Source organism: Homo sapiens, chromosome 16 (assembly GCF_000001405.40).
Source record: "Homo sapiens chromosome 16, GRCh38.p14 Primary Assembly".
Taxonomy (NCBI): Eukaryota; Metazoa; Chordata; class Mammalia; order Primates; family Hominidae; genus Homo; species Homo sapiens.
The window spans coordinates 47,441,876-47,466,714 of record NC_000016.10 but is presented as its reverse complement, the minus strand read 5'-3'; the positions used below and the strand labels follow the sequence as shown (position 1 = coordinate 47,466,714).

Below are 24,839 nucleotides of genomic sequence, written 5' to 3'. Positions count from 1 at the left end.
TATACAATAAAATTTTAACAGGTACTGATTTGCCCATCAAATTAAATTAACAAAAGAAAGTTAATCAAAGAACATAAAGAGAAACAAGTAAATGAAAAGACTCAAGTCCTATGTTGAAGCTCACTTACCAGCTGGCTGATAAACTTAGGGAGCCAAGGTAGATAAGCTCATGAGCCATTATAAAAAGGAATAACCTCTTAAATTATCTTTGTCATTTAAGAATAAAAGCAAAAATGCCAAGCCGTTTCCTACCTCATCACAATATGCTATAACCATTATTCCAAGTAACTGAACTGTATTGCCAAGGTGATTGCTACAGCTGACCAACTATGCTAACTTAATATAACTGTAGTGGCCACATGAGAAACGGAAGCAATCTAAGGTATTGAATGCTACATTCCTTCTCTAATAATTATTTATTTTGGCTGTTGAATTTCTTTATAAATTCTTGGTTTTGTACATTTGACTCCAAGGGTCTTTAAAGAAAAACCTGAATATCTAGATCCCTCTTTTAGTTTAAGCAGTCAAAACAAATTTCTTTCAACCACAGCAAATACTAGTACATTAGTAGTAACAGCACAACTCAAGTATGCACACACAGAAATACAGGATTCACACTAAATTCCATAAAGAGGAGAAACAAAGAAAAAACAAAAAGCAGAAACATATCCAGAAGGAATATGAAGGGTTAAAATACATAAAACAATGCAGGTACATTGAAAATAAATTTTTCAAAATCAAGATACTACTGGCTTTCACTTTTGGCAATACTGGATAGTTTCTGGCCAAAGTACCAATGAAAAGCTCAGCTGTGAAGCAAGGATGTGCTTTAAAATAATTGTCAAATGAAATCGCACAATAAAACATATGCCTATAAAGATAATGTCCAAAGAACTACAATAGGGGAAAGCAAATCATTTCCAATATAAATGGAGTATTTCTAAATAAGTAAGAAATTATAAATGCAAACCACTCAGAGTACTTAAATGCAAACACGACAGGCCACATTCAAAACACAATGCAAAGTTAAGCCTAACACCAGCAGGTATGGTACTTATTATTTTAACAGATACAAATTTTAAGTGTGTCTTTATAGTTTTACTAAGTTTTGGTTAGATGAACTCCCAAAAAAGTGTCAACATTGAAAGTAATGTATAAAGAATCATTCTTCAAAACGGATTATAACACTAAAGTTTGATATTTTTCTAGTCTGTTTCTTGGTGCATTCTATTTCAATTTGATGATACAGTACAGGAAAAGCGTCTTGTATATACCTTCAAACACTCTATGTAATGTTAAAGCACAGTTCTTGGGTTTAGAAATTTTCAGGACTGTTGATGCATAAAAGCTATCTTTAAACATTCTATTTCCCCATTACTACTGAATGACTGTGCTAGTGCTTAAAACCACTTTCCTTCTTAGTAGAAAAGCCAAGATGGAAAACAGAGCTTGGTGCTTATAAGGAAAGAAAACAGAGTCTAGAGATATATGTCCTCCTGTTCTTTTAGTTCAAAGATAAAATCAGAAATCAATTGGCATTGTTACATGTAATATTTTGTCATTTAGCAGATGACACCTAGAAATAGAAATCATTTTAGTTCCTTAAAGAGTTTTTGTTTTCTCCTGTTTGATTCTTCCTTAAGTTATTTCTTATTTATTTTCTTTAAGATTTTCCTCCTCTATCTTGCCAGAACAGGACTTGAAATATAAACGAAAATGAATGAAGAGGGAGAAACACTTCTGAAAGGCTATGGTGAAGCCAAGGAGTTTTCACTGTGTTTGGGGGTGCTCATCTCACATTTGCCTGTTCATGAGTCCTGAGGCTTGAAATATTCTGCTTAAGAGGCATTATAGAAAAGGTAATCTCTTACCAGCAGGCTTCTCCGAGTTTTCTAGTACATAATAGGTTTTAAATGGCCCAAGTTAGGCCACAACTACAGAAAAGGGCTGTAAATGCTTCAGTTTTCATTTCAGCTATGTGGCCACCTAACTAAATGTGTGGCTTGTTCTGTAAAGTGACACTGAATACATCCAAAGGCCTGGTTGCTAATGGGAATGCATAGGTAATCATGTCTGGGTCCATGAATCACCCAGAAATTGTTTCCAAAATCCTGTGCACACGTCTGAAGAGCAATTCCATAGCTTTCATCCAGCTCTCAAAGGGGTGCATCAACACAACGGTCTAAGAGCCATTGTGCCAACATCTGTTCCAGCCCTTACACCAGGATGCCACAGGATAAAGGCCAAAGCACATGGCCTCAAAATATTCCCTGGGGCAAGTCGCTTCCTGTCTGTGAAAACGTGTATATTAATAACCTGCTTCACAGTAAGCTGATGAAGAACAGATAAGTGGGATGTTGACCAAAATTTCCTAATTTGTAGAAGTTACTTCCATTGTGGCAAGAAGACAAAAATCATTTAAGAAATATGCTATGTGCACATTTGACAATGGGAGCTCCCAGACACTAAGGAACTGCCTCTGCTTGCAAATATCGGGGCAGGCACTCCACTCTCTGTTCTTTTCACATCCCACATGAGAAGAACACAATAGGCCACATTCAAAACACAATGCAAAGTTAAACAAAACACCAGCCGGGTACTCAGGCCTGGGCCCACCAAAGAAGAAATAAAGACATAATGATATCTTATAGTGAAATCAACCTTCAGAAACAAAGGTATTTAAAATTACCAAGTGACCCTTTTGGGGTCTACAACACTTACCAGACCTTAAGAAAGCGGAAGACGGAGAGACGACTGCATCAGGTGAGCAGGCCATTTCAAATTGTTGGCTCTAATCATAAGCGTCGCAGGCTAAGCTATAGCAATTTTAAAACTGTTTAGTAAAGGTTAGAAGCAATCAGTGTTAAATTAATTGAAAGCAGTGTGAGCAGTTATTAACATGATGCAGTATGCAACAAAGGCAGTAACTGAGGATCATTATAATTTTATTTTCTCTTTTATGACTTGAAAATGTGATTTTCTTTGCTTTGATAAATTACACTTGCTCATATGGATGAGATAGAAACTATATAATATCCACTTATTAGACATTACATAAAAGTAGTATCCTCTGTTGTGCAGTGAAGTAATTATGCTACTATGTAACAATGCTCAGAACTCTGTGGGGAGGACTCTATACTGGAGTCAGGTTAGTCAAGTGTTTAACAAAGCTCCATTTATATATTCTTCTAAAAGTAACAAACAGAATCAAGTTGATTGCTTTTAATGATACAGGAAGTTATTAACTCGAGTTATTAACTTTATCCTCTGTACTTCATATACTTACAAGAATCTGAAACCTCAAATTTAACTATTAATTTGGAGGAATAACTTCAAGTGGTATCTCTTTACTACTATGATGTAAACATACAGGAACATTCAACATTGATACTATGCACTTTGCACATAAAAGTGGATTTAAATAACTGCACTCAACAACAGTTAACACTAGAATTTTTTTTCTCAGCTAAGAAAAGAGAATTAAGGTTTTCAAAGCTTACTGTTATGACATGCATTTCAGAGGAAACAAAGACTGACGAAGAAAATCAACTCTATGAGCTTATGAAAGTTAAAGAGAAATGTTGCAAAAATATATGTTGGGGGCAGTACTCAGGTCCCTGTAAGAAAACTCCAGTTATTCTCTTTGTTCAGACATAACCAATCCAATAACACTTTTTATATCCAGATAGCCACATCGTTAGTAGCCAACTCAGTATTTCTATATCACACAAAAACAATTTAAGAAAAAGTGTGAAACAAATACATGTGACTATTCCAAGTCACTTTATTGATTCTTAGTAGTACTAAGGACTACTTTTTGAAAAAATTATCTCATACTTCATAGATGGTAATTTTACTATAACCCTAAGTATATAAAGCTGAACTTTTTGTAAGGTATAAAAAAACAGAGTGTTCGGTGTATGATTTCTGAAATTAGATTTTCAGAAATTAGATTTACTTTCTCCAAAAAAAAAAAAAAAAAAGTCAGTGTGCACAACAGACAACTAAGAACTTCATAAATAGGAAAAGCCCAAAACGTAAGGAGAACATATTAGGTGAGAAAATAATTTTTTTTTTTTTTGAGACGGAGTCTCACTCTGTCGCCCACGCTGGAGTGCAGTGGTGCGACCTCCACTCACTGCAGCCTCCGCCTCCCAGGTTCAAGCAATTCTTCTGCCTCAGACTCCCGAGTAGCTGGGGTTACAGGCGCCCGCCACCACGCCCAGGTAATTTTTGTATTTTTAGTAGAGATGGGGTTTTACCAGGTTGGCCAGGCTGGTCTCGAACTCCTGACCTCAGGTGATCCGCCCGCCTCGGCCTCCCAAAGTGCTGGGATTACAGGCGTGAGCCACCGCGCCCGTCCGAAAATAATTTCTTAATATCAATGCAAGTGCAAAGTTAATTTTCCTAGCTAACACCTTTCACACCCACCCCCAATAATGACACTTCATCAATTCTTTAAAAGGGAAGCTCCTTAGCTGAAAACCTGCATTCCGCCTTTCACCTTTCCTGTTTAAGTGCATGCCTTTTGTTCAAGATTATATCCAGCCAACCAGGAATACAGGAAGTTTTAATAACGCCACAAGTCATGACGTTGCAATTTGAACAAGTCAGTTCGGGACACTTGGAACTGTTAAAACTGCCTGCAAGGCACCTTCTGACCTCTATGCTTTCGGGTTTGGAAACCACACAACCTGGGGCCACTTAAGAAGCCCTTTTCTTTCTGGGCCCTAACTATACTCTTCAATATCTGAGGCCCAGTCTCCTTCAGTTTCTGCTAGATAGATGACAGGTCTACTGCTTAGAACCTGTGGGGAATGTAAAAGGGATATAAGACATAAAGCAAGGAGCCCAGACGCCGGCTTTCTGCAGCCAGATCGTAGTTACATCTGACTTGGTCTGATTAAGCTATCTGACTTTTGCAGAGAACATTCACAGGAAAGACACATTCACAGGGAAGACACATTCCCTTTCCCAGGAATGTGCCGCCGCCCGATTTTTAAGTTAGAAGACTCTAAGGGAAGTCCGGACCGCTGCCTACTTTCCGAGTGGGGCTCACAAGCGGAATAGAGTCGGGGGCACACGCAGAGTGGAGCTGGCTCTGCCACCTAATTTTTAGAGGTGGAGGAAGATATTAGAAACAAGGCCAGGGCCGCCACCTGCTTTCTAAGGAGGAACTCGGGGCACAGGTTCATTCCCAGGGCCCCCACCTGCCTCCCGCCAAGGCGCTTGAGGCGAAGCACCACCCAAGGTACTCGGGTGGGGGGCGGCGCCCCAGCCAGCCAAACCTGAGCGCTTGGTCCGAGCTCTTCGCTCCAAGACCTTCCAGCTCACTTCTGCCGTGAGTCCCGCCGCCCCCGCCATCGCGCTCCGGTCGCCGCCTTGGCCACCGCCCCCGGGGCCGCCTGTCAGCAATGCCGGGCCACGCCCCCCGCACGACACTGTCGGGAGGCGCGCCTGCCGGAAGTGAGCGTGAGGGCGGCTTTCACCCTAGCTCCACTGCTTTTTTAGCGTCGGAAGGGCAGCCCTAGTGGGAGAGAGAAAAAGGAGCCGGCAGCGGCTCTTACGCGTCCCGGGGCTGCGCGCCACTCTCTCGGCCGGTAACGCGGTGCTTTGCGGCTGTCGTCAAGCGCGGCGTTGGGCCGGCGGGCGGGGGCTGAGGGGCTGCCATGGCGGCGGCGGGCCGGCTCCCGAGCTCCTGGGCCCTCTTCTCGCCGCTCCTCGCAGGGCTTGCACTACTGGGAGTCGGGCCGGTCCCAGCGCGGGCGCTGCACAACGTCACGGCCGAGCTCTTTGGGGCCGAGGCCTGGGGCACCCTTGCGGCTTTCGGGGACCTCAACTCCGACAAGCAGACGGATCTCTTCGTGCTGCGGGAAAGTCAGTGCTTGCCGGGCCCTCCCTCTGTTCGCTGTCCGTGTGCCTCTCCCGGTGTTCCCCAAACCCATTGCCCAATGGCCGGTCCTTCTGCATTTCCTGGTCCTTCTCTCCCAGCCCTGTGGCCTTCCCTTTAGCATTCTTAACAGCTTGTCCTTTTGCACCACCCTTTCCAACCCCAGGTTCTGACCCAGCTACCCTACAGTTTGACCTACCCTCAAAAGCCCTGACAGCACCTCAGTTTTGTTCCTAAGAAGTCTGCGGCCCTCACCCAGTCACCTTACCCCCTCCTCCCCATGGAATCACCTGTTTTCCAAAGTGCTTCCTGATTCCTAGGAATCTTTGTAGCTTGCCTCAACGTTCGCTCCCAAGGCCCACTCATTCCTTTCTATTTTGCTTCAGTCTTCCTTCCCCGTTGATGAACATGAAAAGGTGCAACCTGACAATCTCTTCTCATAGGGGGCTTCTTCTTGCCTCCCCACCTACCTAATTCGCCCACCCCTTTCTTTGTCAAGGCCACAACTTTCTATGAAGCGAATGTACCCTTCCAAGGGCCTAAACACTAAACAGCTCACACAAGCATTTTGCAGGGACCACTGATAAACCCAATGCCTCCTTGGGAAAGCAGTCTCAAACTACAGAAATTTCTCTCTTGAGCTGCCTGTTCTTTCGTGTACTCCTTCCTCATCTTGGTCATCACCTTAGTGTTCCAAATGTCTACTTTCTTTGCTAACTTGTTCTTGGAAATTCTTTGCTTTGACAATCGTTAAACTAACTTTTTTGTAAATCTTGATGCTGACAGTGGGCATTAGGGGGTCTTAGGGTTCTTGAGTACCTACAGAAGCAGGTGCTGCTTAAAGATCAATGCTGTGAAGGAAGGAAGGAAGAGCTACTCAGAGCTTGCCTGACAGGATCCTGAACCAGACTTCTTGGAGCCCTTGCGGGGATGCAGGAACCTCTTACAAACCCTGAATATTTTCCCAATCTTTTTGACTCCTCATTTTGCAGTGTACTGCCAAACCTGTTGCTGCTGTGTCCAAACTGGATACAGAGAGTAGCCTTGACTTTAAAGATGGCCTGTGTTTGATTAAACAATTCCAAAAGTCTGTCTCAATGAGTGCTAATTGAGCTCCAAGAATGTGTCACCCTCTGGAGGATGGCCCCATAGGAGGAGGGTCTTGGAGGATTCAGCATTTTGTGCTCACATGCTTAATTATGTCTTTGTCAGATATCTACAATGGGAGTCCCTGCATCCTTGGTGTGATGCATCTGTGTAATGAACCAAACAGCCTTACAAGGGACAGCATTGCTAGATTCGGGGAAGACAAGTCTTGACATGTAGTATAGTTATAAGGCATCTTTATATGGTTCTTTTAAGTCAACCAATCTGACTCCTCGCAGAATCCACTGGCTTCAGTTTCTCTTGATCAGCTGCTTTTTCCCATGTTCATCCTTTCTATTTCTCTGCTACTTTGAACATTGAACTTGTGATATAATGTTAGGCATCTCCATTGGACTAGTGGGACTATGCTTGAGAGGGCAGATGAACTGGAGTAGAATAAAAGTTTTCTTGTTGAGAACAGTGCCCAGAAACCTTCTTGTAACCACTGATTAGATATCTTATCAACAAACATTTTTCTAATATCATATATTTGTTTTCTTTAGGAAATGACTTAATCGTCTTTTTGGCAGACCAGAATGCACCCTATTTTAAACCCAAAGTAAAGGTATCTTTCAAGTAAGTACAAATATGATTATTTTGATAAAACTTTAGTCATTAATATAATAATGGATATGCAGTAGCTGATTGGTTGTCTTTAAAGTCAGCCTTAGTGTTGGGATGCAAAACCACTGTTTGTGAGGTATGAGTAGCAAGTGATTTTTTGGAAAAATAGTGAAAATACCAAAGTTTAAAAATGACTTTAAAGAAATAAATTTGAGTGGATCCAGGTTTGTTTCTATATAAACACCCTTTATTTCCTTGCAATCTCGTATCCCTCGTATCCCTTCTTGAATGTGTCTCGTTCTGTGCCTCATCTTGAGGCAGCAGTCACTCACAGTAGTCTCATTGTATTAGCCATGTGTTGTGTTTTGTGGAAGAGGGGCCTATTTTGCAGTGGGGAAAAAGTCAGTGTTCTAATTTTTTTGTTTAATTGACTGATGGTGAGTTTTTAAGGTTGACTTGGAAGGAATTCAAGTTTAATTATCTGAATTTTTAAAATGTTCAAGTAATAGTTATTTTTCTTTTCTGTGGTTGGCATTGCATGAAACAATGACCACTCCCACACCTCTACCTCCATGATAGTGACCCAACACAGTTTTGAAACTACATTCATTTGAAGCAAGCATTCGTGGCTGTCTGAATTCAAGCAAGAAGAGATGGGTCAGTGCAGGCCAAAGGGGCAGCTTCCAGAGTCATGGAACTTGAGCTTGACCTTAGTATAAATAAAAAGTTAGGTGAAGACGTTCAACTTGGAAGTTCAATTTTGGGGACAGAGCATTTATAAGAGATAAAAGTAAGAACAGCATGTTATGAAGAGGAGGTAGAAAGATCTGCCTGACAAAAGTGGAAGGTACACTTCGGGGAGTTAAGGACTAAGAACATGAGATAAGAAGGGCAGACTGGGAGCCTTCAGATACAAAAAAGAGTTTGAATGCTGTCCCATTAGAAGAGGGGAATCATCAGGTCCTTGTGCAAAGGAGAGATGATGAAAACAGTATTTTAAATTGATTTACTTGTAAACTATATGCAGAATGAATTGGTTTGTAGAAGATTAAAGACTACTTAGGAAGCTGTATTTAAAAAGTCCCTGTGTGGGCTGATTAGTTCTCAGACTCTACAGTATTTTGAGTAAACTCAAACTCATGTTAAAAAGAAAAATGGCCTTGAACTAGAACTTTGAGGGGAAAGTTATAAATGGATAAACAGGAACTTATTTCCCTTGAGAAGTGTTTTTGGGTAGTGAATGTCAGCATGCTTGGAGTGGGGAAGAAACTGAAGTTGAGTGTATATGAGAAGTGAACTAACTGCATAGAGGTGATTTTTTTTTTATTAGAAATTAAGGAAATTTAAAAGATGTAAATGGCATGTGTTCTGATAAGTTAAAACAAATATCCCAATTAATTTTTTTATTAATGCAATGCACTTTCAAAATTTAGAAACTCTTGTTTGTGTTATAATTTAAAATATTTTTCAAAGTAAAAATAACTATTCTTCACCCTTATTCTCCCCCACACCCCTGTTTCTCTCTCAGATGCAACCACTTTTAAAACCTGTAGCTGATTCTTCTAGTGTTTATTACCATATTTTAAAATAAAATTTTACACTAATTTTCTTGAATTATCATTTTTAAATATTCAATTCTTGTTTTTTAACTAACATAATTTATCTACATTGTCCCAGTGTAATTAAATCATAATTTTTTGTTAAATTAGTAATCATTGTTTACCTTTTAACCATGTGGTGTCTATGTACTTCAGAACCAAGTAATGTACAGTATTTCTTTTCTTTTTCTTTTTTTTTTTTTCTTGAGACAGAGTCTCACTCTGTTGCCCAGGCTGGAGTGCCTTGGCATCATCTCAGCTCACTGCAACCTTTGCCTCCCGGGTTCAAGCTATTCTCCCACCTCAGTCTCCCAAGTAGCTGGGATTACAGGTGCCTGCCACCATGCCTAGCTAATTTTTTGTATTTTTAGTAGAGATGGGATTTCACCATGTTGGCCAGGCTGGTCTCGAGCTCCCGACCTCAGGTGATCCACCTGCCTCGGCCTCCCAAAGTGCTGGGACAGTATTTCATTTTTTGTGCAGCTTGCCCTACTGGAATAAATGATTGCTTTTTAAAAAATAGATTGCATAGTTTTCTATGTACATACCCTTAATTTCTTTGCAGATATTCCATCATATCTGCCATATACCTATCCTGCATTTTTGTTTTTCCCATTGGATCCTCTACATTCCTATCCAGTCTGGATTCATTCTCCAGGCCTTTTGTAGACTTACTATGTGGGGAATTTCCCCATGTAAAAAAAGAAATTTCCTCATTTACTTCACGGGGGTGTGTCTTTCCAGAAATTCCTGAGAAAGGATGCCTGATAAGTCCTGTCACATCCAAAAAGTTTTTCTACCCACTTTTTTTTTTTTTTTTTTTTAGAGACAGAGTCTCACTCTGTTTCCCAGGCTGGAGTGCAGTGGCACAAGCTCAGCTCACTGGAACCTCCACCTCCCTGGTTCTAGCAATTCTCCTGCCTCAGCCTCCTGAGTAGCTGGGACTACAGGTGCACAACGCCACGCCCAGCGAATTTTGTAGTATTTTAGTAGAGACAGGGTTTCACCGTGTTGCCCGGGCTGGTGTCAAAACTCCTGAGCTCAGGCAATCCACCTGCCTTGGCCTCCCAAAGTGCTAGGATTGTAGGCATGAGCCACCGCGCCCGGCATCTACCCACTCTTAAAAGTTTGGTTAGCTTATTGTGTTCTAGCTTCATGGGTTGCAGTTTTAAAATTCAACCCTCTTCTTTCTCCTAATCTTTTAAATGTAAATTGTTTTAATTTTGGAAGCTATTGGAGTCTCTTCTTTTTCTATTTTGTTCTGATTTCATGATGATGTGCCTTGGTATAGATTTGTTTTTCTTTTTTGATAAAGACAGGGTCTTTCTCTATCACCCAGGTGAAAAAGGAGTGCAGTCACACAGTCATAGCTCACTGTAGGCACCTAATCCTGGGCTCAAGCTGTCCTCCCACCTTCGCCTCCCAAAGTGCTGCAATTACAGGAATGATTATTCTTTACTTATTATGCTAGGCATTATGTGGGCCCTTTCAAGCTAGAGGCCTCTATCCTTGGGAGCTTTTTGAAATACTCTTACATTATTAAATATTTCTTTGAAAAATTTTTTTGTCTCTTTTAGGAGTTTCTATCAGTTGATTAGTCTGCCTGGGTTCATCCTTTATTCCTTTATCTTATCTGTTTCTTATTTTTATCATTTAGTTTTGTTTTATTTTCCTTTGCAGGAGGTTTTCTCAACTTTCTCTTTTAAATTCTAAGTCCTTTTTTTTTTTTTTTTTTTTTTGGTGGGGGATGGAGTCTTGCTCTGTTGCCCAGGCTAGATAGAGTGCAATGGTCCAATCTTGGCTCACTGCAATCTCCACCTCCTGGGTTCAAGCGATTCTCCTGCCTCAACCTCCCAAGTAGCTGGGATTAGAGATGCACGCCACCACGCCTGGCTACTTTTTGTATTTTTAATAGTGACAGGGTTTTGCAATGTTGGCCAGGCTGGTCTCAAATTCCTGACCTCAAGTGATCCACCCACCTCCACCTCCACCTCCCAAAGTGCTGGGATTACAGGCGTGAACCACCGCGCCCAGCCAGGTGTCACATTTTTAATTTCCGAGGTTTTTCTTTTGTTTTCTTACTGATGTTGTCTTTTAGCATACTGTTGTTGGTTTGTTTTTTTTTTTATAGACAGACTTTTTTCTCTTAAGTGTAATTTTGAAGTTTTCTTTTGTTGCATTAGTTCTGTTTTCTTCAGGTTCCTTATTGCTATTTGTTTTAGCTCTCTTTAATAGTCAAAGTTTTCTTCAGAAGGCAGGTGTCTACTCACATTTTCAAGTAAGGTGCAAAAGAAATAATTGGAAATGTATTGCCTAGTGGGACTAGTCTACTATCTTTTGCCCTGCATGTATGTTCTTGACAGACTAACATTCTAGAAATAGGGTAGAGCTGTGGGCAAGGGTTAAATTGTTCCTTTTGTAGACTTTTGGTTAACTCCTGTGTCTAGCTTAAGGCCAAAACCTTACCCATTACTGTAATTTAAATCCTTAATTCCTGAGACTTTCCAGAAATACACCACTTGGTTCTTACCTTGCTGAGTGAGAGGGAGAAAGAACTACCACTGATGCATTAAGAAAGTAATTATCTATAGTCTAATTGGAAATTTGCTGTCTTGCTATTTCATCTGAGTAGAATTAAGTATAAAATGAATTAAAGGCCTAATTTTTGCTTGGGTCGCTCAGATAATAAGACTGCAGGACGTTAAGCTTTCAAGATTCATATAAATAATTTTAGAATTATTTTGTTAATAAAAATATATCAATACCTATGAAAAGGAAAAAATAAAAATATACATATAAAGTTAGATATATATGTTTGGATGCTATATTGATTGCCAAGTTTCGTTAAAAAAAATTCCATTCTTAATTTACTAGCTTTCAGAAATAAAATGATTCTTTTAATTTTTACTGTAAATTTTGAATTTATGTTAAAATCCAAACTAAATATTTTATAAATAATATCTTTTAATTGAAAACATCCCAGTGATAATGCTTACTGCTTTGGCAATTATGAGCCTCCATTTGTTAGAAACACCATCCGAATGTCTTGGTGTCCTTGACAAAGGAACTATATAGAAGGGCTATACTAGCCATTGCTTGAACATAATAAACACGTTTTCTCTCGACATATTTCAGATTTGTCTTGTTTCTTGAGACTATTCTGCATTCATTCTGAACTCTTTTTTAGACCAAAGAGGTCTAAATACATGATGGATGAAAAGATAGGAAAGAGAAGGCAATCAGTCAGTTCTGTTAAGTTTTAAGTTTTTCATTGAAAATATTTTTGTGTGGTAGAAATACAGAATTGTCCTTTTCCATTACAACTTGTCTGATATTTGTAAATGCTTGTTTCTTTTAGGAATCACAGTGCATTGATAACAAGTGTAGTCCCTGGGGATTATGATGGAGATTCTCAAATGGATGTCCTTCTGACATATCTTCCCAAAAATTATGCCAAGAGTGAATTAGGAGCTGTTATCTTCTGGGGACAAAATCAAACATTAGGTGAATTTGTTTTAAAAATTTTTAATATTTATCATTGAATATGAAGGTAAATGTAACAAAATATTGTTCTGAAATCAGTTCAAAAATACTGTTCTTGGGTGTCAATAATTGTAAAACCTTTTTTCAAAGTTTATTTCCTGATTTTTCTTTTTCAACCCTGAACTGGGCAGGGATCACTTCTACTGACAAACTTCATTCTTACTAGCTTAAAGAGGACAGAGATTTATTAAAGGATTTTAGTGGCTCACAGAATCATTGAGATGGCTAAAGAATAAACTCTAGGTTGAGCTTTCAGGAGCAATCCCAATATCATCAAAAAAGCTACTGCCTCTTTCCCCTATCAGAAGTGGCTAGTTACACAACTGCTGCCAGAATGATGCTGTGCCTGCAGTGATTCTCACTAGCAAAATGAATGCTGCACCTGGTCTCTTGATACTCCCAAATTCAGTGAGCAGACACAGATAGAAATAGCAGAGAAACAGCCTTTACCTCATTCATGCCTTTAAGACTCACAGTGTATCTGATTGGCAAGGCTTAACTTTTATTCAGCATCTCAGATGCCACAATATCTGGAAAATGCTATTTTTGGTTTCTAGTCTCCTTAGCACAGGAAAGCACAAAAAAGTTGAAGTATGGTTCGAGAGTCAGTCTACCATACCTAGTCACAAATCATCAAGCCTTATCTGAAAAGCCAATTAGTTATACCTAAATAGGCAACTTTGTTCATGGAGCCAAATTTCAGTCATGTTTTCTGCACCATTTGGGAATGTAAACAGTAATCGCGATACATTATATTCATTAAGTCAATAAATATTTACAGAGGGAGTACCATGCACAAAGCTTGTATATAAGCATGTACATTTTAGAACCAGGAAGTTTTGCATATGTGGCCTTCTTTACACCAAAACCTTGTTAATTGTCAACCTCTCTAGCACTAAATTGTGTAAAGACAAAGACTCAGCTAGCAAATATTTAGATGCATACCTCAAAAGGAGGTTATTGTAATGCTAGTCTTCACTGTAGAATGTATTCTCCCAATATTTTGTCTTTGCAAGCTTGATGTTCATTTGAACTAGATTTATAGTATCTCATTAATGATAATAGTTGGAATAAATCAGAGATAAATCTAGAAAAGAGTAGAAGAATATTTTTTCCTAAGCATAGATATCAAAAGTAATATAAAATGCCTGCTAATTCATATATATATATATCTTTTTTGCAGATCCTAACAATATGACCATACTCAATAGGACTTTTCAAGATGAGCCACTAATTATGGAGTAAGTATGGGCTTGCTTCCTTTGAAACGATTTTAAACTTAAACATAAAATAAAATCTTCACATAGGAAACTACTTTGCTTAGTAATAAAAATACTAAATTCACTCAGAGGCCTGTACCTTTGATTATATTGTATTTATTTGCCATCAGATAGGACAAAGAAAAATGAAATTTATTATTTTGGAAAGTAGAAGAGATTTGTGTTTTTATTTCAGTCGCTTCAAATGTGTCCATTATGGATCTATGCTGTCATTACTGAAAGAATTAAGATACCTGTTTTTGAGTAAAACTGTTATATTTGATATTTAGGATACAGTTTCCTCTAGAAATTTAGAAAGATTCCTATATTAAGGAGAAATTTTTGTTCTTTTTATAATATAACTCCTGCTTTGTGTTATCATTTATATTCTCACTGTAGACTCATGTACCAGCATAATTGATTTAAATAATTGATGTAAATTTGGATTTGCAAATTTCTGACAGCGTATTTTGGTAGAGGTCGAGATCATTCCCGGGACTAGAGCAAAGTTTGGCCACATTCTTGTTTCCAGTACTGTCTTTCTTACAGTTATTAAAATCATACCCATACAGCAGTGTGTCAGTGGCCATTAGAAGTCTGAACTGTAAATCCATGGATTAATCTTCTTAACGGTGCCCCGCTAGATTTCTTTCATAGTTGTGTATTTTTTCATTGTTGTTAAAATATTCAATGGCCAGTATGAAGTTTTATACCAACTAGGATTATTTTTCTAGGTTATTTCTCCTAAGCCCATCTAAGTAAACAAGTTGGCTTAGGATTCTGAAGTAAGTTTCTAGGAATTAGTGCTGTATCCTTATCATTCAAGGGTAGTCTAGATAATGCAAAGATTACAGAGATACCCAAAATCTCACAAAACGAATTTATTTCTTGCTCTTACTATATGTCCAGTGTGGGTCAACAACAGGCTCTGCTCTGTGCTGTTGCTTAGAGTCAGGCCATCAGAGAGCCCACTGTCTTTGTAGCTAGTCCATCTGAATCACAATGCCTTCTCATTGCCATGGCAAGCCTGGAGAGGGCTGGAGGGGCTGGTAACAGAAATTATACACTTTGGCCTAAAAGTGACACATGTCACTTGTGCTGACATTTGACTTAATACTTATCACTAGATACTGGCGAGCATTGTAATGTCTACCACACTTCCCAAAAGTTACTGCTTCTTTTAAAGCTAAATTAGAAGTAAGAATTTAAAGAAATAGCTGCTTATTGTTTTAATTTTTTTTCAGTTTCAATGGTGATCTAATTCCTGATATTTTTGGTATCACAAATGAATCCAACCAGCCACAGATACTATTAGGAGGGTGAGTAAATATGGTTATAACTATGTAATTAATCGTATATATTGCTTCTACTTTAACCATTGGAGAAAAAATAGCTCATTGGAATCCTTGTTTTTAAAGATTTTTAAGTGGGCATTTGGTTAATATATATAAGCTTTCTCAAATAGTTTGGATTTGGCCTGCACCTGCTTTCCAAGGGCCAGCTTACTCCTTTTATCTCTTTGAAAAATTAGAGATTGAAACTTTACGGGTCCCCATTTAAATATTGGTTCATTAAATGTTTTTGAAATGGATAGATTTCACGTAAATAGGGAGGATACCTGCAGTCTTGAGTGGATCCTCCCTATCTTAGTACCTTAGTCATGTTAGCTGCTAGACTTTAATTGATAAGATTTGTTTCTTTCTGTCATTTGTTCAGTGAGCAGTCAATAACGGTCTAGTAATATAAGCACTCCTCTAAGCTCTGGAAACTTGTCAGTGAATACATTGTCCTTCACCAGTATGTGTGCTAGGCCTCTCTTACTATCTAAGTATGCAATTCTTAGGGAAAAGTGCCTGGAATCTTGCAATTCCAAGATATCCATTGTAATTACTCTGGATTTAAATAGAACTGGTCTCGTAGCACAAGAATTCCTGATAGCAAGATACTTTTCATAAGATACCTTCAACCCGGTTAATTTTTTTTCTGTATCTGATAAGGTAAAGTTTAGTTCAAGAGTACAGAACACATTTATTTACTTTTTTGTCTTTCTGAAAGTACAAAGGACCACCCTTATCAATCTGTCTTTCCCAGCTACTTGGAACTCTAGTGACTTTTCTCTTTGTGTTTTATAGAAATAGTTTGTTTTTATGATTCATTTTTGAAATGTGATTTGTAGGTATGCAGAGGAGTAAATTGTGAAAATTTTTAAGGTATTCTGAAGAGACACTTTAACATTTCCTATTACTTTTTCTGGTTTACAGCCATACCACCCTGAACGCGCCCCATCTCTTCTGATCTCGGAAGCTAACCAAGGTCAGACCTGGTTAGTGCTTGGATGGGAGATCACCTATTACTTTTTCTGTAGGTTTTTAATAAAGAATATGGGTGCTTTGATGCTAGTAATAGTGAACTTTGAAATAATTATTGTGAATCCTGAATGAGAAACCTGTTTTTTTCTCCAAAATTTGAAAAATATCTTGAAGAGAGTCTTGCTTTAGAGACAAATTGGAAGGAGATCCTGATTTGCTTTTGTGGCCGTATCCAAGAGGAATTGAGTGCAGGTGGGGTGCAGGGAAAACACAGTCCACTCCCCACCACCACTCCGCTCCTTCCACAGCAAATGGGGACTGCTCAGAAAACCCTGTCCTTTCTTTTCCTCTCTTCAAAGGCAGGCATGTGATTGAGGATGTGATGGTGACTTCTGGCCTGTTTTATTTTGTGGTAACTTCACTTTAGTCAGGGAAATAATTGGAATATCTTTAATCTGATGTAGTTTGACCTTTAGAAATTGAAAGTGAAACAGCTATTGTTGATAATTCACAAAGTATTAATAAAACTTCTATTACCTGTACAGATTTTTTACTTAATCTGCGAGAAAACTATTTAGAATATTATGGAATTGTGCCATAGCTTCTTTATTTGTTCTTAATTCTATATTAGATTTTTTTTTCTCTGCTTCATGAACAAGTTCAGATTTTAAAACATCATGCCTGAAGACATGTCCAACTTTATTTTTTATATGTTATATTCTGGTCCAATATACTAGAGTAATAATACTCTGGTATTTTAGGATATCTGTCATTTGAACCTCAGTTACAAATTAAACAATAGTAGCTAACCATATCTAAGTGATAAGTTTGCATCTAAGATTTGTCCTGATGCCAGTTTGAAGATATATAAGCTGACAGAAATTTGCATTGTTTAGAATGACTGTAGTCTAACAATATCATGGTTCAGACAACAGAAAGCTGAATATGCCCCTGTGGCAGCAAATATTAATATGTTACTAAAATATGAAAACTACGTTTAAGCAATGTCAGTTTTATAAACAACAGATAAGATATGTACATAGGTGAGTAAGTGAAAAAGTCATCAGCATTGACATTTTGGGTTATTCACGTGACCTTGATTGGCAGCCTAATCTTTTATTTATCAAGAAATCTACCTTTTACAACTTAAATATTATGCTTTATGGATATGCCAAACCCAAGATTATCTTTAATTGAATTTGACCAGCGCTTTGGTTTGGGAAGCATGCAATGATCTTTAAATTCAGTGTGAAATGCTTCTGTAGAATTATAGCAGAAAGCCCTTGCTATAACCTGGCTTAGTGCAGACATGCAAATCTGAGATAGCACAACCAGTTTGGCTGGACTAAAGGTGCAGATGATCAGTCTAAACAGCAGTGGTGATAAGCAGAAGAATTCCTTATAATTGGTACAGTGGGGTTATCTAACAGGGACAGGAAGGGCACTCACTGCATCTAATGAGGTTCAGGAGGTAATTGAAGTGTGTTAAATGGTCAAAGGTGAGACTTCAGTTTGAGCTTCAACTTCACTTATAATGACTTGAAATAATGTAATAATGTGCCATATTACTTAGAAATAACACCTAGCTGTTAAGTGTCACAGCAGCTTCTGCAGTGATGTGACGTTATTGATAATGAGCATTTTCTATAAGAGGACATTGGAAACTGATGTTGCATACTCATTCAGAATATTGTTTTTAATGTTGAAGTGAAAACACTTGTACCTGTAATTTTAGTCAAAACCAAATATAATGTTGGTCTGTTAAAATTTTCTGACTCAAAAAAAAAAAAAAAAAAAAAAATTTTCTGACTCACGTACTGAGTTCAAATACGTTCTGGGTCAGGCCCAAGTTGTATACTTGGAGATATTAATGTAGGTATGTGACAGATATATACTTTGCCGTACACTGTTTACATCACAAGTGATCGCATGAAAATATTGAATGTGGTATAAGTAGCACTGAAAGCAATCATTTTTAACTGTTGTGTGGGTAGATTTTGCCCCTCCATTATCAAAAAAACTGTATTCTCTATTTAAATGTAGTCAGCTACTATCAATCCAGAAGAAATAAATCTGCATTTTTCCATTTAGCCTTTCATATTTTCTCACATTATAACCAATGACTGATTTATTAAATCACCCTTCAGTTTTACTGTTGATTTTGTTTGTTTGCTGATACATTACAGAAAATATTATAAATATTTGTTTTAATGAAGTGTGACATTGTATCACTTAAATCTATTGTTTAGTAAGAATATGAAAATTATGATGAGGTTTATAACACAAAATAAAACCAAATAATACTCAAGGCAGCTTTTGACTTTGTAATCAGCGTTAATACCCATAACAAAAAAAGATAACTTTGAGATCATTTATATTTTCTTCAGATTCCCCTGGCAGCACCCTCCCTCTCATCCCATACAACATTCATATTTTTAATACTATTGTTAAAAGGAATCTATTAAAATCTGAGAGATCAGGTATTTTTTTCTAATCAGTATTTCCATGGAAACGTTACATCAGTTTTCTAACTTTTCTCTTTTCCTAAAGGAACTGTGCTATTAGAGATACATTAATTTCTTTTCCCAGTGTTTCTCACCCTAACCTTTTTCTTTTCAAAGTTAAACTGCAGAAACAGTGAAAAACTTTTAGCAGATGACTTATATGGTGGTTATTTCAAGTGGCATGTTCATTTCTTAAGGGTCTATAATTTTATTTCCTATAGTCCCACCAGATGTGATGGAGGGGTCAATTAAATTACCTCAGATTTTTGCTTGAACCTGGGAGGCAGAGGTTGCAGTGAGCCAAGATCACACCACTGCACTTCAGCCTGGGCGACAGCAGAGTGAAACTCTGTCTCAAAATAAATAAATAAATAAAAATTTAAAAGTTAATTACCTCAGATTTCTTGGTGACTTATACTGCTTTATTTTATGTTCTGATTGGTAGTATTATATTTAAGTGAAATTGTTTGTTTCTAAGTAAATGGTTTTAAGATGTTATCAAAATTTACTCACCTTTTAGTTAAATCTTAATAATTTTTAGATGTATATTTGTAATTCAGAAAGATCATCTTCTTTTGAGAAAAGTATAGTGTTACAGTTTCTGTGCAAAAAAAATTGATAGTAACATTTCCTTTTATTGGAATGTATTAAAACTTTGTTTCCTTGTTTGGGGAGAAACCATTTTGCTTTATTTCATTACTGTTAATACCTGTGTATGTATTAAAACTAGTATAGGCTAGGGGCAGTGACTCATGCCAGTAATCCCAACACTTTGGGAGGATGAGGCAAGAGGATCACCTGAGCCCAGGAGTTCAAGACCAGCCTGGGTAACACAGGGAGACCCCATCTCTACATACAAAGAAAAAGAAAAAATTAATCGAGCATGATGGTGCACTCCTCTGGTCCCAGCTGCTTGGGAGGCTAAGGTGAGAAGATTGTTGATCCAGGAAGGTCCAGGCTGCAGTGAGCCGTGATTGCACCACTGCACTGTAGCCTGGGCAACAGAGTGAGACGCTATCTCAAAAAAAAAAAAAGAAAAAACCAGTATAGTTGAAAAATCCATGTATATAGCAGGCTTTGAGTAAGATTAGTATCTATTACCATTTCAATTTAGGGTGAAATGAATCAGAATCATAATTTCTGAAAATATAGATTAAGTCCTCTTTCATTAGATTCTAGTTGCATTTTTTCAAAGTGTATACACTGTTGAAAATGCCTTACAAATACTTGATTTTTATCAGTCTGGAGGCCTAAGCTCTGAGTTCTAGCTCCTGAGTGAGTTTCACAGTAGTCCTGACTGGAGGTGTGCGTTCAACTGTGGGACGCGTGCTTCTTTTCAGACTGCCTGTTCTTCCACTGTATTTGCCTGTATTAGTAGTCAGTGCTGTCTCTTAGGTGTAGTCTTACTGTTGCACCCCCTAGGAAGGTAGAAACATTGGGACAAAGTATAATAAAACATGACTGAAAGAAATCTTCATGTTTTCTCTTATGTAAGAAATCTTCGTATTTTCTCTTATGTACCTGAGACATTATTGCTGAGAGGTCCTTAAGATTTATCCAGAACTGCACCTTTGAGTTCTCATTGAAGCCCAGAGTGAGTGATTCATGAGGAATTTACCAGGGTGACTTTGTTCTCTAGTGATGCTTTTCCCAGTCTTCTGTGTATCTTGCTGGGGAGGCACACCACGGAATTGTACAGCTTATCTGTCCCTTTGGAGGCTCAGAGTTGGATAGGGAAATAAGAGAACAAAGAGTATCTCAAGCAAGCTTGTTGTTGTTTCATTAAATGTTTATCAAGTAAGTCTGGGGTTGGCACTTAACATCAGTTGCCTCTTTTTTTTTTCTTTCTTACAACAGATAGCTTGTGTGGCTAACAGTGACTTAAGAGTCTAATTCAAAGATTAAGTGACTACCACAGGCTCACAAATACGTAAATAAATGCTAAATCTGGGAATTGAATCTGGATCTTCCAAGTTCTAAAGGCTGTGCTTTTGCCTTCGTTCTTGTACCATCACAGGGGTACAAGGGGTACAAGTCACAGGGGGCCTTTGGTGGTGCTCCTTCATATGGCCTCCACCTCTCTCTCCATGGCTAGCTTGGACTTCATTGTAGCATAATGGGTGCTTTTCAAAAGCATTCCATGAAACATAGGCAGAAACTGCATGTCTCTTAAGATCCAATCCTGGAAGTTAAACAAGTGTCATTTCTTTTATATTCTCTTGGTCAAAATAGGTCATGGGACTAGCTAAGATTAAGTGGAGTTAGTAGATGATAGACTCTACCTCCTGATATAGGCACGGCAAAATTGAATGCAAAAGAGCATGTGAGATGGGAAATAATGTGACCATCTTTGAAAACACAATGTGCTAGCCTGTGTTTGTTTACTTTATCATAAGTAAAGACTTGCAAAGAAATATGGAAATACAGATCATTTTAAGCATGTCAACTTCTAGAATCTCAGGCTTCATAGGTGTTCTTAGCTAAAATTCATGTGCCTGAGAGTGTACCTGTTTTCACTATAACTTTCTCCTTCACATGAGAATGCTGTCTTCCTTACATTTCCTAAATCTTACTAATGGTGATTTGCTGGGATGTGAAAACCCATAGATATCAAACGTGGGGGAAATCTTTTTTTTTTTTTTTTTTTTTTTTTTCTGAGACGGAGTCTCGCTCTCCCAAAGTGCTGGGATTACAGGAAGAGCCACCGCGCCCGGCCTGGGGAATCTCTTATAATTAACTAAGATATCTCAAACTAATAGAACTTCCAGTTTTTCTTTTTTTTTTTTTTTTAATGTACATTTCTCTTAACATGAAGCTTGCATACAAAAGCAGACATCATGGTCCATGTTGATGTATTCTGAATTCGGATGCACTGGAGTGGGGTTGTGGTAGCATGACAGTTTTTGTTTTAATGACTTTGCCATTTCATTACGTGAGTATTGTCAAAAAATCCATTATTGTTGAGAGAGACCCTTGGGAGAGCAAAGAAAAGAGAGCATCTGTAAGAAAAACCAATTTCCAAAAAGCAGATCTTATAACTGTTCTTAGCACTGTATCCCAGGACAGATCATTAATTGGAAAGAAGGTAACTTTCATGCCAAAGTGATTTTGGAAGGTAAAATGATTGTTGCAGATGTGACTGGAATATTCTCTAGGACCATCAAATTCGTAGATAAAGCTTTTGCATAATTTGTTGTATATTTGGTATCTTTTTCTATAATGTAGCATATTTTATAAAATCATATCAAGAAAATTCCATTTAAAGTGAAGCATCTTATTTTATCTTATGAAATTTTATTTTTACTATTTTCTGTATCCTGTTAATGTAATAATACTATCACCTAATATATAAATTTACATGTTGGCTTCTGAGCCAAATAATTTTTTACAGTATATACCTTTTTCTTTTATTAAATTCATAGGAAAAGTTTGTCATGTTTAATAAAATGAGAAAGGCATAGTGTTATTCTTTTTTCAATACACTAAGTACTCCAAAAGCCAGACCCCAGAGTTGACTATGCACATAAATTTACTGAAGAGCTATTACATCTTTTATCATATTTCTTGTAACATAAATTATTTTAGCTGCATTATATTGCATTGCTGTAAGTTAATTAATGAGAAATAGCATGTTGCTTTACAATCTTATTTTTATAACCTATTTTATAAAAGTAGATAAATCAGTTTTATCTGATTTACATTATTGTACTCTTGACTGCTTTTAACAATGTGTCCTACAATATACATTGAGTCATTTCTCAGCAGTTTTTATAATATTCCTTGAAACACATATTAGCACATTTATTTGAATTGAAAATAAAAAACAAGGTCACACTCATTCTCGCAGAAAATGACTTTCATTTGGAAACAGCTTTTATAGGAAGGACTGGCTTTGTGAATTACGTTATATGGCAGATATTTTCTGTAAATTGAATGAACTAGATCAGCAGTTCTAAATTTCTTTTTGTTTTTTCCTTACATTTTATTTTATTTATTTTATTATTATTATACTTTAAGTTTTAGGGTACATGTGCACAACGTGCAGATTTGTCACATATGTATACATGTGCCATGTTGGTGTGCTGCACCCATTAACTCGTCATTTAGATTAGGTATATCTCCTAATGCTATCGCTCCCCCATCCCGCCACCCCAAAGCAGTCCCCGGTATGTGATGTTCCCCTTCCTCTGTCCATGTGTTCTCTTTGTTCAGTTCTCACTTATGAGTGAGAACGTGCGGTGTTTGGTTTTTTCTCCTTGCGATAGTTTGCTGAGAGTGATGGTTTCCAGCTTCATCCATGTCCCCACAAAGGACATGAACTCATCATTTTTTATGTCTGCATAGTATTCCATGGTGTATATGTGCCACATTTTCTTAATCCAGTCTATCATTTTTGGCCATTTGGGTTGTTTCCAACTCTTTGCTATTGTGAATAGTGTCGCAATAAACATACGTGTGCATGTATCTTTATAGCAGCATGATTTATAATCCTTTGGGTATATACCCAGTAATGGGACGTCTGGGTCAAATGGTATTTCTAGTTCTAGATCCCTGAGGAATCGCCACACTGACTTCCACAATGGTTGAACTAGTTTACACTCCCACCAACAGTGTAAAAGTGTTCCTATTTCTCCACATCCTCTCCAGCACCTGTTGTTTCCTGACTTTTTAATGATCACCATTCTACCTGGTATGAAATGGTATCTCATTGTGGTTTTGATTTGCATTTCTCTGATGGCCAGTGATGATGAGCATTTTTTCATGTGTTTTTTGGCTGCATAAATGTCTTCTTTTGAGAAGTGTCTGTTCATGCCCTTTGCCCACTTTTTGATGGGGTTGTTTTTTTCTTGTAAATTTGTTTGAGTTCATTGTAGATTCTTGATATTAGCCCTTTGTCACATGAGTAGGTTGCAAAAATTTTCTCCCATTCTGTAGGTTGCCTGTTCACTCTGATGGTGGTTTCTTTTGCTGTGCAGAAGCTCTTTAGTTTAATTAGATCCCATTTATCAATTTTGGCTTTTGTTGCCATTGCTTTTGGTGTTTTAGATATGCAGTCCTTGCCCATGCCTATATCCTGAATGGTAATGCCTAGGTTTTCTTCTAGGGTTTTTATGGTTTTAGGGCTAACATGTAAGTCTTTAATCCATCTTGAATTAATTTTTGTATAAGGTGTAAGGAAGGGATCCAGTTTCAGCTTTCTCCATATGGCTAGCCAGTTTTCCCAGCACCATTTATTAAATGGGGAATCCTTTCCCCTTTGCTTGTTTTTGTCAGGTTTGTCAAAGATCAGATAGTTGTAGATATGCGACATTATTTCTGAGGGCTCTGTTCTGTTCCATTGGTCTATATTTCTGTTTTGGTACCAGTACCATGCTGTTTTGGTTACTGTAGCCTTGTAGTATAGTTTGAAGTCAGGTAGCGTGATGCCTCCAGCTTTGTTCTTTTGGCATAGGATTGACTTGGCAATGCGGGCTCTTTTTTGGTTCTGTATGACTTGGCAAGGCGGGCTCTTTTTTGGTTCCATATGACTTGGCAATGTGGGCTCTTTTTTGGTTCCATATGAACTTTAAAGTAGTCTTTTCCAATTCTCTGAAAAAAGTCATTGGTAGTTTGATGGGGATGGCATTGAATCTATAAATTACATTGGACAGTATGGCCATTTTCACGATATTGATTGTTCCTACCCATGCGCATGGAATGTTCTTCCATTTGTTTATATCCTCTTTTATTTCATTGAGCAGTGGTTTGTAGTTCTCCTTGAAGAGGTCCTTCACATCCCTTGTAAGTTGGATTCCTAGGTATTTGATTCTCTTTGAAACCATTGTGAATGGGAGTTCACTCATGATTTGGCTCTCTGTTTGTCTGTTTTTGGTATATAAGAATGCTTGTGATTTTTGCACATTGATTTTGTATCCTGAGACTTTGCTGAAGTTGCTTATCAGCTTAAGGAGATTTTGTGCTGAGACGATGGGGTTTTCTAGATATACAATCATGTCATCTGCAAACAGGGACAATTTGACTTCCTC

At 37.8% G+C, this 24,839-nt stretch overlaps 2 protein-coding genes and 1 pseudogene across 5 annotated transcripts in view, besides 1 other annotated feature; 2 read left to right on the top strand and 1 right to left on the bottom strand.

Annotated features, from left to right (window-relative positions):
* The window catches only part of PHKB (phosphorylase kinase regulatory subunit beta), a 240,225-nt gene extending 234,809 nt beyond the window's left edge, over positions 1-5,416 (bottom strand). The window contains exons 1-2 of one of the 3 annotated variants that reach the window (NM_001031835.3): positions 5,289-5,384; positions 2,722-2,833 (exon numbers count right to left, since the gene is read on the bottom strand). In NM_001031835.3, the coding sequence (NP_001027005.1) occupies positions 2,722-2,776 (55 nt within the window). In that variant the 5' untranslated portion in view covers positions 2,777-2,833; positions 5,289-5,384. Of the gene's footprint in view, positions 1-2,721; positions 2,834-5,288 lie in introns of all 3 variants that reach the window. The other 2 variants (NM_001363837.1, NM_000293.3) reach the window with 2 other exon arrangements.
* Positions 5,274-5,743: a silencer, noted in NCBI's record as "silent region_7451". NCBI's record gives its function as "represses an Ori minimal core promoter by ATAC-STARR-seq in GM12878 lymphoblastoid cells {active_cell/tissue: GM12878}" and the evidence as "EXISTENCE:reporter gene assay evidence [ECO:0000049][PMID:35858748]".
* Positions 5,469-24,839, top strand: part of ITFG1 (integrin alpha FG-GAP repeat containing 1) — a 306,856-nt gene continuing 287,485 nt past the window's right edge. The window contains exons 1-5 of one of the 2 annotated variants that reach the window (NM_001305002.2): positions 5,469-5,600; positions 7,540-7,612; positions 12,557-12,702; positions 13,925-13,982; positions 15,245-15,319. In NM_001305002.2, the coding sequence (NP_001291931.1) occupies positions 12,615-12,702; positions 13,925-13,982; positions 15,245-15,319 (221 nt within the window). In that variant the 5' untranslated portion in view covers positions 5,469-5,600; positions 7,540-7,612; positions 12,557-12,614. Of the gene's footprint in view, positions 5,601-5,651; positions 5,878-7,539; positions 7,613-12,556; positions 12,703-13,924; positions 13,983-15,244; positions 15,320-24,839 lie in introns of those variants that run through there. The other variant, NM_030790.5, reaches the window with a different exon arrangement.
* On the top strand, positions 16,254-16,368 carry RNA5SP424 (RNA, 5S ribosomal pseudogene 424; annotated as a pseudogene).